The 13,855-nt window shown below is 35.6% G+C and overlaps 3 annotated features.

Annotated features, from left to right (window-relative positions):
• Positions 216-510: an enhancer, noted in NCBI's record as "tiled region #13401; K562 Activating DNase matched - State 12:CtcfO". NCBI's record gives its function as "weakly activates a minimal TATA promoter and a strong SV40 promoter by Sharpr-MPRA in K562 cells {active_cell/tissue: K562}" and the evidence as "EXISTENCE:reporter gene assay evidence [ECO:0000049][PMID:27701403]".
• Positions 216-550: a biological region, named in NCBI's record as "Sharpr-MPRA regulatory regions 3589 and 13401".
• Positions 256-550: an enhancer, noted in NCBI's record as "tiled region #3589; K562 Activating DNase unmatched - State 12:CtcfO, and HepG2 Activating DNase matched - State 12:CtcfO". NCBI's record gives its function as "activates a minimal TATA promoter and a strong SV40 promoter by Sharpr-MPRA in K562 cells, with weaker activation in HepG2 cells {active_cell/tissue: HepG2 | K562}" and the evidence as "EXISTENCE:reporter gene assay evidence [ECO:0000049][PMID:27701403]".

Consider the following 13,855-nt stretch of genomic DNA (forward strand, 5'->3'; position numbering starts at 1 on the left):
GGCTTATCAGTGAAAATAGAAGTTCTCCAAATGGGGTCAACGAGTGGATTGATCACAGCATTTGACATTTGGTATTTGAAGCTAGCAATACTTTTATTTCTGGCATTTAATAATTTTTTTTTCATTTGTGGCTCAAATTTACTTTTTTATCTGTTTATAAGAGAATATACACTTTCTGGAGCTCTTCTCTCCTGAACAAAGGTAAGCAGCAGATCCAAAAAATGTGAATGTTTCTCCTGGGAAGGCGTGGATTTCTGCTTTGGACATCGTTCTGAAACCTGAGATTTTTGCAAAGCCAACTCAATTCATCAGGACCACAGCTAACCACTCACCCTGCTGTTCATTTCGGACTTAGAAAGAAGGCTGTCACTCTCGAACACACTGCCATCTTTTGACCATGAGAAGTATCACAAAGAGAAAAAGAAAGACCTTGTTACTGGTTACTTGCATCAGTCTACTAAATGGAAGCAATGTTGATGCAACGACCCACTCTACTGTTGTTAGTTCTTTGGAATTTATAAGACAAAACAAGATAAAGTGAAATGGAGCAGTGCTTCATGAATTTGCTAACAAATAATTCACTTTCCAGCAATTTGAGCCCACACCAGGGACTCCATTGTTGAATCTGTTAATATATTAACATTACTACAACACCTTTCTTGTTTTCATTGTGTGTATGATGCTATAAAACAGAAATGTACAATATAATTTTCCCAAGGGACATATGTTTTTGGAGTCTTACAGCTCATTACATCAGATACATGTGCTATTCATGCAACAGATATTTTTGAGTATTTACTACACGCCAAGCTGTGTTCTAAATGGTGGAGATGCAGAGGTGAACAAGACAGATATGATATCTGCCCTCAGGGATGTGACAGTTTACTGTGAGCATTGGACATACGGGAGAAAGGCTAATTTGAAAAAGCATAAGATGACTTAAGAGTAAGAAGTTAATTTAAATCAATATCAAAGTTTGCCTCCTGAAGAGATGCCATTTAAGTGAGGACCAGAAGGAGGACCGAAAGTTAGCAAGATCAAAGTAGAAGAAGGTAGCAGGGGATGCTTTCTAGAAAAATGAGTCAATCTGTGTAGATACAGCATGAAACATGAGCTAATGGATTATCAAATGAGTTCTTGATTTACATAAGATGCCTCAAACTAATATTTAAAATTTACATTTTTATCTCCTAAAATATAATATCGAACATAGTGCATAAGCATAGTTATGGGAGGTGGTGGTTAAAGCATAGGGCTTTGAAGTTTCAGGGACTTGAATTCAAATCCAATTAGCTCTACAACTTTAAGCAATTTACTTATCAGAGACTATTTATCTCTAAAATGGGAATGATTAAATCAAAATTTGCTAATATCTTATCATGTTTCAAATGAGTAAATATATTTAACAGCCTAGCTCAGAGTCACACAGAATGCAGGTACTCAATAAATAACACATTGTCTTTTCATCTTAATTTCTTGGGGATTCTAACTTTAGAAGGCTCATTCTCCTATTGCAGGTTTCCTGTCTTTAGAAGGCTCAGTCAATCACCATTATGAACATATTGTTTAAAGGGCCATTTTGATTACAGTTTTGTGAATAGTGTGTGGCCACATATGATGCCTCATTAATTCCCTAAAATTTATTGTAAATAAAATTGTTTGAGTGCACAGCTCTAGCACATGATTGGCCAGGCTGTATTTGTTACTCATGGAACAAAGTTAAAACAAAATGGAAAGATGGGTATGTCCTTAAATAACTGAAAGTTTCTGCTTTAATTGTCCAGAACTAGTCCAATTCACTTAATAATTATACTCCTCAGTTAGCCTTAACTATGTAGAACTGGTCATAGATTGCTCCCCAAATAGCTCAAAGGTATGTGAGGTGAGGAGCAGAGCTAGTACTTCTAACCTATATTAGAATATCTTGATATGTTTGTAATCTTGTCATTCTTATCTTATAGATATACACACAATTTACCAATCCCAAAATATGATAATGTCATTTTTAAAACACGGCGATAGCCCATTACAAGCTAAGTCCATTTTATAAAATTTAAATGTTTTTCATTAAATAGTACTCTTGTATTGAGACATTAAAATGTTAAAGCTGGAAGAGATCTTAGCAATTATCTGGTATATTCTATGTTATCTGGTAAATTCATATTTAATATGTTCTACAGATTAAAAAACTAAGGCACACACGGTAGCTTTTCCTAGAGCTAGTGGATATTGGGGATTCTCATGCAGAGGTCCTGGCTCCCAAATCGATGTATTTTCTACCGGTTTACACTGTACCCACATTACACACTGGTAATCTATATATAGGGTAGCTGTTTCATCTGAAACAAATGTTATAAAATATAATTGATTAAAATAGATTCTAAAATAGCATTATTTTTCTAAGTATTAATAATAATTTAAGTAGTGCTTTTGCATTCCCAACTAGAATAATTTTTACCAAGTACTCCTTCAAATAACACTGAGAGGTAGATCGTTAAGCATTAGTTCATTCAACAAATATTTACTGAGCATCTGGAGTTTGTAAGACACCATATTAAGTCACTGATTCCTATCCTATTTTATTAACCAAGTTACAGAAAGGGGAAAGGGAATGTTTACAGGAACAAGTCATCAAACACCTTTGCTCAGTTTCGCCATGTCCTAAACTATTCTGATAGCTTGCATCTGTATAGCATTTTACAGTCTCAAAGCACGTTTTCATGACATGAATTCTCATATCACATTATTTTAGCCTTTATGACTCCTGAACTTTCACCCTGCTTTTATTGTCCATGGTGTTGATGTCATTGATCTTGCCCTTAGGTTTTAAGTTCATAAAAACTGAGGCTATTTTAAACACCATCGAATCTTTCACAGTGTCTAACCCACTTTCTTAAGTACAGTAGGTACCTGATATTTAATGAGTGAATGAATGACATTTCATTTGATCCTTACAAGCATAGCAGGCATGATTATCTCCATGAAAGAAGACAATGCTGTACCATAGGGAGATTAATTCCTGATTCTAGCTGTTAGAAAGCCTGAGGGTTCCTTATTGGATCTCTTTCTCCTTTAACTCTTAAGCAAAATTCTGTGGCAGTCCTCACTTATAAAAGAATCATTTCTTCTACTACTACTACTATTACATAAGCCACTAAATAAGATATTGTGTTCATATTTGTTAAACTATCTGATTGTTTAAGTATGAGTTTATTTTTCTTACACAAGTGGCGGAATAATATTTGTCTGGTTTCTTACTGTAATGCCCAGTTTTATTGCTAGGAAGGTGATTGTGACAAGGATGATACTAGGTTCTCTGGCAGACAGTAAGAGATATAGAAGATACATTTTGCATATGCCATCAGTGCCACTTGAGTCCTGTTTTTCATTTACTGTAATCAACTTCCTCTTCCCTCTGATGAGTTTTAAAGGAATGAGAATATGGCACCTCCACCCCCTATAATTGGTTGCAGCTGAACTCTTAGCAAGTGAAACAACTCACATGGCTTAACAAGGATATGGGGATTGCAGTGAAAGACTTTCTTCAAAAACAAAACTTGTTAGGGAGACATCTAAACACCAGCTTAAACTTATGTAAGTTTCTTAAAAACAGAAGAGCTTATTCTTCTATGGATAAAGAAATAGATTTTCTTTGTGAATTTCTAATGATCATACTGAACATAAAAGAAACTCTTAAAGAAAACTTCAATCATGACCCTTCTTTTAGTTCTGAACTAATTTTATCCTGCCAAAACCAAGTAAAAGCAAATGTACACTTTCAGATTGGTACAACTAAAATCAGAAGTAGAAACATTTTAAAGTTATATATTTTTAATATAGAAAGGTTTTTGTTTGTTTTACTTTTATATTATTTAAGGAATGTTAACCCAGTTCTAAATTTCACACTCTTGTTCCTTAAGGAGGACTTTACTTCCTTTATGGGAGCAATCAGATGTGAGCAATACCTCACATTATCCTGTGCTTTGTAGTTTCAGAAGCATTTGCATATATGTTATCTCACTTGACCCTTTTGCCTGTGAAGTTGGCTGGAAGGTATCATTGCAGATGGGAAAAGTGAAACTGGGAACTTTGGTGGCTTGCCTTAGGTCAAACAATTGGTAAGTGGTCAAGTCAGGCCTTGAACTTAAGTCTCTAGACGTTAAACCCAGAACCTTAAATGGGTGAGCATAAAAAGGAATGAACTGCAAATAACAAATCTAACTATTTGGTGAATAAAATCAATTTACACGAAAAGAATTCAAAATTATCAGCTAAAATTACCGGTTCCATGGATGAGGTACTAGGTGTGAATACGTGTGTTAGAATACACAGTTTTAAAGGCCAAGAAGAAGCATATATAGCCCCAGATAAAATAAAAAAAAGTTTATACTTACTGATAAACTGAGCAGATATAAACTTCAATAATTGTTGGCTAGATTGACCTAATTGTTGGCCTATGTATGTGTTCAGTCATTTACATTGGCTTCATAAGTACCGGTGTCTAAATTCTACTAGTTTATTTTTTCAGTAATCAGTTCAGTTTGACCAATGTGTATTAATTGATGCTGTTACTGTATGCTTGTTTTTCAATATTAGGCTTTTTATACTTATGTATATGCAGAATCTTATATTCAACAATATGACACTGAACAAGATTAGATGTGAAATTACATGGTTAAAAGTGTGGGCTCAGGCTGTGTGAACTTGGCCAAGTAATCCGACCCTCAGAATGAAGATAGTAATAGTATACATCTAACTGGCTTGCAGTAATGATTAAATGAACCGATGATATGTAAACTACTTGGTTTCTGGCATATGGCAAATATGATATAAATATGACCTGTGGCCTTTGTATAGAATTTATTGTGTAGATATTTAATTATATTATTGTCTTGGAGTTGAGAACACTACACAATATTTAAATCATTTTTTGAAAAATTGCCTCAATGTTACAATTGCAATAAACTTTAATCAAATTAAAGTTATGCATAAAGTTTTATAAAAATTGATTTTTCCAAAATCATTATAACTTTAACAGATGGTGGTGTTAGATTTTGTGTACACTAGGTGGCATCTGGTGTGAAAAACTGTCTTTCCTTTTACGAATTTCTTGCTCTTTGGATTTAGTAAGTGTGATTTAAGATTTCAGTGCCTTGGATTCCCCTTTGCAAGGTGACAACTGTGGTGGAGTCACTTCTACCTGAGAATGTTAATTCACTACATCTACTCTTTATTAAGGTGAAGAGAAAGTTCTAGTAATATCAAATGTGATTGCCTGTAATATGAGAAATGAAAAAGAAACTTTTGCAAATTGAAATCTGAAGGAAAATAAAATTTTGGATTCTGTAAGATTGTCTCCTCTAAATAACATTGTACTATATATAATTCATTTAATTTTTAGTCCGACTGTCTGTGTGTGTGTGAGAGAGAGAGAGAAAGAGAAACAGAATTGAATGTGTGTAAAGAGAACATGAATTTTCTGGTACTACTTATTTAGCAAAGGGTTGAAAAGCCACTGTATTCAGAATAAGTATGATGAAATGAGGTTGGAAATTTAAAATAATGAAAAAGTTTTAAAACAACCATCATAATTAATTCAATAGAATATCAAAAACAGATGAATGGAAGAAATGCTCAGCTTCATAAGGAATAAGTGATGTTGACAGCATGATTTTGTTTTGTTTTGGATCCCATTATGCCACTTTGTGACTTTTCTTGGGGGGGCAGGGGCTATGTTTGGCTGTGTCAGAGGGATGAGAAAGAGTGGCTTCCTTCTTGAAATAAAATCATAGCTGCATAGAGCCAATTACTTCCAGAAAAGGAGAAATGAAGTCGTAGTAGAGGAGGAGGCTGAAGACTTAGGGGCTTTGATGAAGCTAAAGAGCAGGTACCATGGGTATTAGGAACTGGAAGAGGTGGGAGAAAAGATTACAGGCAGAGAGAGGAATTGTATGTGGAAACATTGTGGGTGGAGCAGTGCTGAATAATGTTGAAGTCAACATTATGGTGATGTGAGTGGGCAACTGGCATGAAATGGATAGAGAGATCTCTGAATGGAAAATGGGAAACTAAAAGACTTGAGTATCAGAGGGTAACTAACGTTAAGAGAAAACTTCCCAAGCATGTTGGCTGGGATTGGAGTGGAGCGAAACACAAAGGCAGATGCTAGCATCATTGAGAAAGGTGAAAATACTCACAGTAAAGCATACTTATGAGGGGGACCACATTTTCCACTAAAGTATACATTAATAAGGCAGCTGCTCTGTTGAAAGAAAGAGGAGAGAGCTGTGTGTGGAAAGCTCTCTACTGCTGCTACTTCTTCACTTTGGGTTATTCACTTAACTTCTCTACATTTGATTTCTTCACTATGTTCTAGGGCATGTTTAGAAATATTTGTCAATTTCCCACCCATGTGAAAATATATAGACAGGGGAAAGAGAAAATGGGAAGGCACTTTAGGAAGCTATCACAGTTTTCCAGATAGCAGATGGTGGTGGCTTGAGTTATGATGGTAGCAGTGAGTATTCTACACAGTTTTAAAAAATAGAACTTAACAGAGAAGAAATAGTCAAGGTGAATTTCCAGACTTCTGCTGCCTTTTACTAAAATAAGAATGACAGGAGAAGGAATAAATTGGGAAAAAATCAAAAGTTCACTTCTATACATGTTCTGTGAAAAACATCCAAACAGAAAGGTCAATGGGGAAGTAGAATATAATGATTCTTGTAGTCAAAAGTCTGGGCTCAATATGTAAATATAACATTAATTATTTTATAGATGATATTTAAAATAATAAGAATAGATTAAATCACTAGGGGAAAAGTACAGGGAGAGAGGAGAAGAGAACCTAGTACAAACCCTGTGGAATTACATCTGGAAATATCTCAGTGACCAGCAAAAGACACTAAGAATGAGTGGACCAGAGAATTAAAAGGAAAACTAGGAAAGCATGGGCTTATGAAAGTCAAGAAAGGAGAGCATTTTCAGTCAAACGCTGTACATAAGACCAGTAAGATGAATGCAAGGACAGGTGAGTGGGCGTGGTGAGCTTGGTGTGAGCAGTTCCACCAGGATACTATTATTACACAATTTCCAAGGACCAGAACCTTGACCTTGTACCTCCAGGTTCCCAACTAAAGGCTAGGGTACTGTACTTACTAGTGAATCTCCAGGACAGTCAAATACCTAGAAAAATTTAACTTTTGTTGGTTATACTAGAGTCACATATACTTTCCCTAATATCCCCTAGTTTGTTAATTCACGTTCAGCCTACAGCCACATGATTAGGTAGAGCATCAGCAAAGAGATCGGCTACTGGTACCTGTGCTTTCAGGTTCCTAAATGTCCTCAGAGGAGTTTCTGCTTAAAGAATTTCCTCTACTTTATTATAAAACTTAAAATATTTCAAGGAATAACTCAGATAGTTCCCCTTCCCACTTAAACCCTTTCTCTTCATTGCTCCATTTAATATACCAACCCAATATGGTGCATAACATGGGAAGAATGCAATGCTATAGTGATGCAATATGGTTAATAATCATTAACACGTCCACAGTACTTATGTGCCAGAGTGTTCAAAGAGCTTTGTAAACATTAACTCATTTGATCCTTACAAAAAATCTATGAAGTAGTTAGATTCTATTGTTAGTTCTATTTTACACTTGAGGACACCAAGGGCCAAAGAGATTAAATTTGCCCAAATCTAGCTCCACAGTCCAGATTCTTAACCATTAGGCAACCCATAAATACTCTTTATGTGAATTCAAAGCAACCTTATAAAAGAGAACCCAAGAAGTAGGGCTTTTAAATCACATTAAACTGGCAGTAACTGCCTCCTGAAGTGCCTATGAGGACAAAGTGTGAAAACGCATCAGATGATAAAGGCCTGAACCCTGGTTAGATCCACATCTAGGGCCTTTTCTGGGAATTCCATCAACTCATTGCCTAAACTCATTACAGGAAATTACTAAGCATTGAGATGACTCTAGTATTATGAGCTCTTAAGGTGGCCAGCCAAGGATAAAACCATACATTCAATTTTAACGGCAATCTTTACTTTGACTATGAAGTCCAACTGAGTGGGAATCCAGAACACTTTTGCTTGAGAAGCAGTTTTTTTCATTTCAATCTGTAATTTTGTTGTAAGAAAGCCATGTGGATTCTGCTGTATGCCAGTACACCACCTCCTGGGAGTGCAAAACATATTTTGATTATTAAAAATCTCAATACTCCCAGAGAACACAAACCAGTAATATTATAATAAATGTAAAAATAAATGAATAAATAGCACACATGTTTTAGTTTCAACCTCAAAAATTTTGCCTAACATGAATATTATTTCAGATTTTGTTAACCAGGTTACATTGGCTAGCTGTGTGAATATTAGGATAAAAGCAGAATAAAAGTTATTAGTAACATAAACTGCAGAAAGCTTTGTGGTTATTGCCATGTTAGGGAAAGATATTTTTGTTCCATGGGTTTTATTCAACAGGTATAAAAAATAGCTAAGAAAACCTAATTCTCTTCATTCATTCACTGAATAATCATTTATTGATGCTTTACTATGTTCTAGAGATTGAGTCATAATAATGAATAAAATAGCCTCCATTTGCCAAAACCTCATAATTTGGGAAAGAGACAAATAATGAGACCACGTTAGCATGGTGTGGTGAGTTAGGCATAAACAATGTTGCTGTGGGATTGTGTGGGAAGCTGCTGGCCTATTTGAAGTAGCTGGCAATAGGAAAAACTAAATCCTCCTTTTTACTCTTTATAAGTGTGACTTTTCTCCTGAGGAATGTTTGTTTTAGAGAAAACCCACAGGTAAGAGCACTTCACCATCTCTTCATCATTGCCAGGGCATCCACTGTCTAAAGCTTTAATTGGTATTGGGGCCTGCAGAAAAGCCATAAGTATATGAGAAACTGAGGGAAACAAGGTGGAAAGAAGGGATATGAGGCTGGGGTGTCTGTAAGAAAATTCAGGGCAGCTGTTATTCTTATTCAACTGATGTTTCATGTATAATGCTAAGCTCAGCAGGTTCTTCCTTAAATCAGGGGTTCTTAACCAGGGGTTCGTGAATGGGCTTTAAGGGTATAGGTGAACTCCTTATACTTGTACAAAAACTGTATGCAGATTTCTGGGCAGTGTCCATGGAATGCATAAGATTCTCAAAGAAGTTCATTTTTTAAAAAAGATTAAGAATAATTCAGGAACAAATTTAGATTATACAGAAGAGGATGAAGCTTTAGGGGCTCTCTTTAAAAAAAATAATACAAATTACAAATGTGAAATTGTTCATGAAAGTGACCATTATTTAGTATGACAACATAATATTCCTATTAATTAACTACCTGATACTTCTCTATAATCCTTTTTTCAAACATTTTTGGCTGCCTATCTTTAATCACTCTTCATGTGACAGCTGCAGTTTCATTATATCTAATGTCATTGAGGTTAATACTCCTAGTTTGTAGAAATCTTCAACGTATAGAGGGTGTTTTCATAATATAAGGGTCAAAATGTTGCTTGTGATTAACTTTATTTACTGTGTTAATAATGTCCATATTTGTGAGGCAGTTTGGAGAAAACAATTCTTTCAGCATCAGTAAAATTGAGAAGTTTATGATAAAATGATGCATTAATTCTATTTCTTTGGTACTGTTCTAGATGCTTTATATGTGTAATTCACTTCAATCTTACTGCAACTCTATGAGGTTGGTACTACTATAACAGTTTACAATGAGTAAACTCAGAACAGAGAAAAGCGAATAGCTTTGCCCAAAGCCACACAGCTAGGAAGCTGGTGAGTTGGGATTTACACCCAGCTACATTGACCCTAGAGACTGAGCACTTAACCACTGTGTTCCACTTTTTATAAATCTGAGTCCAAGACAGGGATGAAGATATTCCCAGTTTCTCAGGGACTGAGTTCCCACAATGTCCTGGACTTCACCATGAGCTGAGAGTGAGCAATGAAGTGATAGAAACTTCAGATACAAGGAGAAGCAGTGTGATAAAAGCAGGGACTTACACGCCACTTCACACTGGGACCACTAGGACGAACCACATCACAGAGTGTCCTTCAACATGTGGTGGTGGCAGCAGAGAGGAAAAGGCAATGTGGCGTGTTCAGTCAGAGAGCACCGTAAGTCACACCTTCTTGTTCCCTAAAGCGACACATGTCACTTCAACACGAGAAACTAGCACAGCAATCATAAACTTCAGCAGCAGATGTCTGTACTTCCAAAGAGCAGGAAAGATTCAGTACCTCAGCACTAAACGCAGCAGCAACAGATGCCAACACCCAAGGACACCCCACTGGACTCCAGTGATAAACAGGGCATCAGTCCAATGCCTGGAAGGAGGAGCAAACGCGAAATAAATAGCCCCTATATTAGCCAATTAAACTGTAGTGAGAAGAAGGTATATAGAGGTAGGAAGAAAAATAGCAAAGGAAAAAGAAGTTTTATTCACTCATTCATTTATCAACAAGCATTTATCTATTATGCTACAGAAATTGTGCTAGTCACTAGCACAAGAAACAAAGGCAAGCAAGCTTTTGTTTTCAAACACTTACCATAAAGATGAATAATTAAACTAGCACATGAAAACATTAGCAGAAAAGAAAGGGCAAAATCAAGTGCTGTGAAGGGCGTTATAGCTGTTTTTTATGTCTAATTTATTTTAAAAGGAAGGAAGAAAAATTTCGAAATAAGTAGGACAAAATGTTAATTTTTTAAAATTAAATTAAATTTTAATAATTGACATAATTGTACATATTTATGGAGTACATGGTGATATTTTGAGACATGTAATATATAGTGATCAGATCAGAGTAATTGGCATATCCATCATCTTAAACATGTATCACTTCTTTGTGCTGGGAACATTCAGTATCTTCCTTCTAGCTATTTGAAACTATAGAGTATATTGTTGTTAATTATGGTCATTCTACAGTGGTATAGAAACTAGAATTTATTTCTCCTTTCTAGCTGTAATTTTGTATCCTTTAACAAATCTTCCCCCATCCCTATCTTTCTCATACCCTTCCCAGCCTCTAGTATTCTCTGTTCTACTTTTTTCTTATATGAGATCAACTTTATTTTAGCTTCCACATAATATTTGTTAACATCATTAATTCTCAGTCATGACTACATGGATGTTTGTTATATTGTTCCCCATAATCTTCTGCATTCATTTTTTTCATAATGAAAATATATGCCAAATAAATAGCCACATATTACAGAAGATTTTATAAGGCAACATCTCTATCTACCATTGCCACAATTCTCCAATTATGTGTTTTGCTTTGGGGAAGAACCAAATCCTTTTTGGCTTGGAACATTTCAACTCTAAAAATATTTAACTACTGGTAATAGCACCTGCAAATCTAGCACTTGTATAAATACATTTCCAAGATTGGTAAAAAGAAACTACTTTAGAAATGGTTAATGTGTGCTGTATGGATATTCAACAAGACTTAGTTTTATGATTTGTAGAGTAAGTATAGAAAATATTACCCATTCAGACACCTAAGGAAGTAATTTCTTACCATAAGCATTCTTCTTTTTACAACATTTCATAAACTGAGCAATTGAGACATTCCTTATAGGGAAGTGGAAGAGGAAATGGGCAGCAAACTTTGGAACTCAAAAGGAGCTTTGGTCAGTATGAATCCCTGAAAGTCAGGTTCATTTTCCGTGCATGAAAGAGAACAAATTATTTCACTAATCCTTTGATCTCTTTATGGTTTCATTGTTCATTCTAGTGATTGTACTAGAAACAAGTTTCACTTCAGCTATAACAGTTAATGACAGACAACAGAAAGGGAAGTGGGCGTGGTGCTGTAGTTAATGATAATGACAAGAGCGTTGGTTGCTATTTATAGCATTTGTTAAACTTTCATCTTTTCAAATTGCTATTTTCATGCAGCAAACTTAAATCTCTCAGGCAACAAGGTAAGCAACTGGAAGTAATTTCTGGCATTAGTCAAATATGTAATGACCAAGAAAAACACATTCTTCACCTTGAAGTGCCACCAGTTACCAATGAGAATATGAAAATAAACATTCACAAAGTAATCTTGCAGTGATCAGTTTTGGAAGATGATGAAAAAAGGAATTATGCTACATGAGCCTATCTGTGAGACAAAACTGATGAAATGTGAATTTGAGACAATAGACTTAAAAAAAATCAAAGCAATTTTATTGAAATGACCTTGTCAGAAAACAATTTGCCCATACCCAATGAAAAATATAATTGGTGATAAGACTGATAATGGCTGAATCTGGGACCAGAAATACAGTTGTGATTTTGAAACCTTGGCTTCTAAGTTACTGTGAGACTTGGAGAATTGTTATTGCATTTAACTACCCCCAGGTTCCTATTCTTTAGACACATTCAGCTCTGTGATAAACTCAGCCCCACAAAAGTGGAAGGAAGAGGAGGTTTGTGAGTGGTAGGAGGATGGAGGGTGGACAGGGAGAGACTGGGAAGACTCACACTTCTGGAACGTGGACACTCACTTTGCCTACACTTACATCAGAAAGACTGGAGCTCAGGTTTCTTTTCTCTGTTAAGCCTTAAGTTTTTTCTTGAGTGGAACCTTTGTTTACAACCTGCCGGACTTCCTTTAGGCATTGTACACAGTATGTCCACAATGCATTTATATTAAATGCATCAGCATTGCTAGAACAGTCTGGACAGTATGATCCTAATACAGCTTGCCTACTGATTTGAATACGTTTTTAAACCAGTGGCAGGCAGACTGTAGAATGAGGCTGGTGAAAAACAGGGAACTGAACAAGAAAAATAGATTGCAGCAGCAGGGAGCTCAAGTAAGGACATGGGCAATCATTCTTTCTGGTAAGCAAGTTTGGTGATTTTGTTGAAATGATCTTAAGTGTGGTGGTGTTGAGTGCTGAGAATTCAGATATTTTAATAGCTGAGATTTATTTCATTTATAGGTTTCAGTTTAATGCCTAATTAAAATATATATTATGGTTTAATAAGACCAAGACTCTTCTGATGTTGAGAATACTGTGAGTAAAACATGATAAATGGCAGAGACTAACACTGAGCTTCTTTGCTCCTAGCAATGAAAGATGTTCACCATATAATACGCATGAGGTCACAATTCTAATACTCTCTATTTGCCCTTCCTTTTACATGAGATAGGATCATCCTGAAAGCTGCAATCCCTGATGTTTATCTTCCTTATGACTGCAATCATGTATTTTATGCAAGGTTTTATCCTGGACAACAGTGAATAAAAAATGTATCTACTTTTATCACATTAATTAAAGCTACAAATATATATTGCTCACATACTGTGTATAACCTTCTTTGGCAAAGGCTGAGGAGAATAAAAACATTTAAGGACTGACTTTACCTTTTTAGGAATTAAGAGTATCACTTGAAAAAAAAAAAAAACAACAACCAGCACTACAAGGTCAACAATCCTGGCAGATAAGGGATAGAAACACTGAGTGCTGTAAGAGGTCAAAGGAGGGTGAGCTCATCTGGCTGGATATTCAAGGAAGACTTCCTGGAAGGAGTGGGGTTTGAGCTAGGCCTTAAAAAATGAGCATATGGGAGGTAAAGAGAAGACAAGAAGGTTTTCCAGGCAAAGAGAATAGAGAGTGTTCTTGTATACATTCTTTGGAGAAACTTATTAAACTAAATCTAAACTGGATTTACAAGAAAAACCTCCTCCTTTTCCTACCTCTTAGCCCCTAAAAGGAAGAACAAGGAAAGTATTGATTCAGATGTCAAAAAGTTTAGGGGTATCTCTAGCTTCAGATATGGTTGGAGGCAAATGCCCAAATGCCACTGTGATTCTCTGTCTTCATTC

The sequence above is a fragment of the Homo sapiens genome, chromosome 4 (genome assembly GCF_000001405.40).
Source record: "Homo sapiens chromosome 4, GRCh38.p14 Primary Assembly".
NCBI lineage: Eukaryota > Metazoa > Chordata > Mammalia > Primates > Hominidae > Homo > Homo sapiens.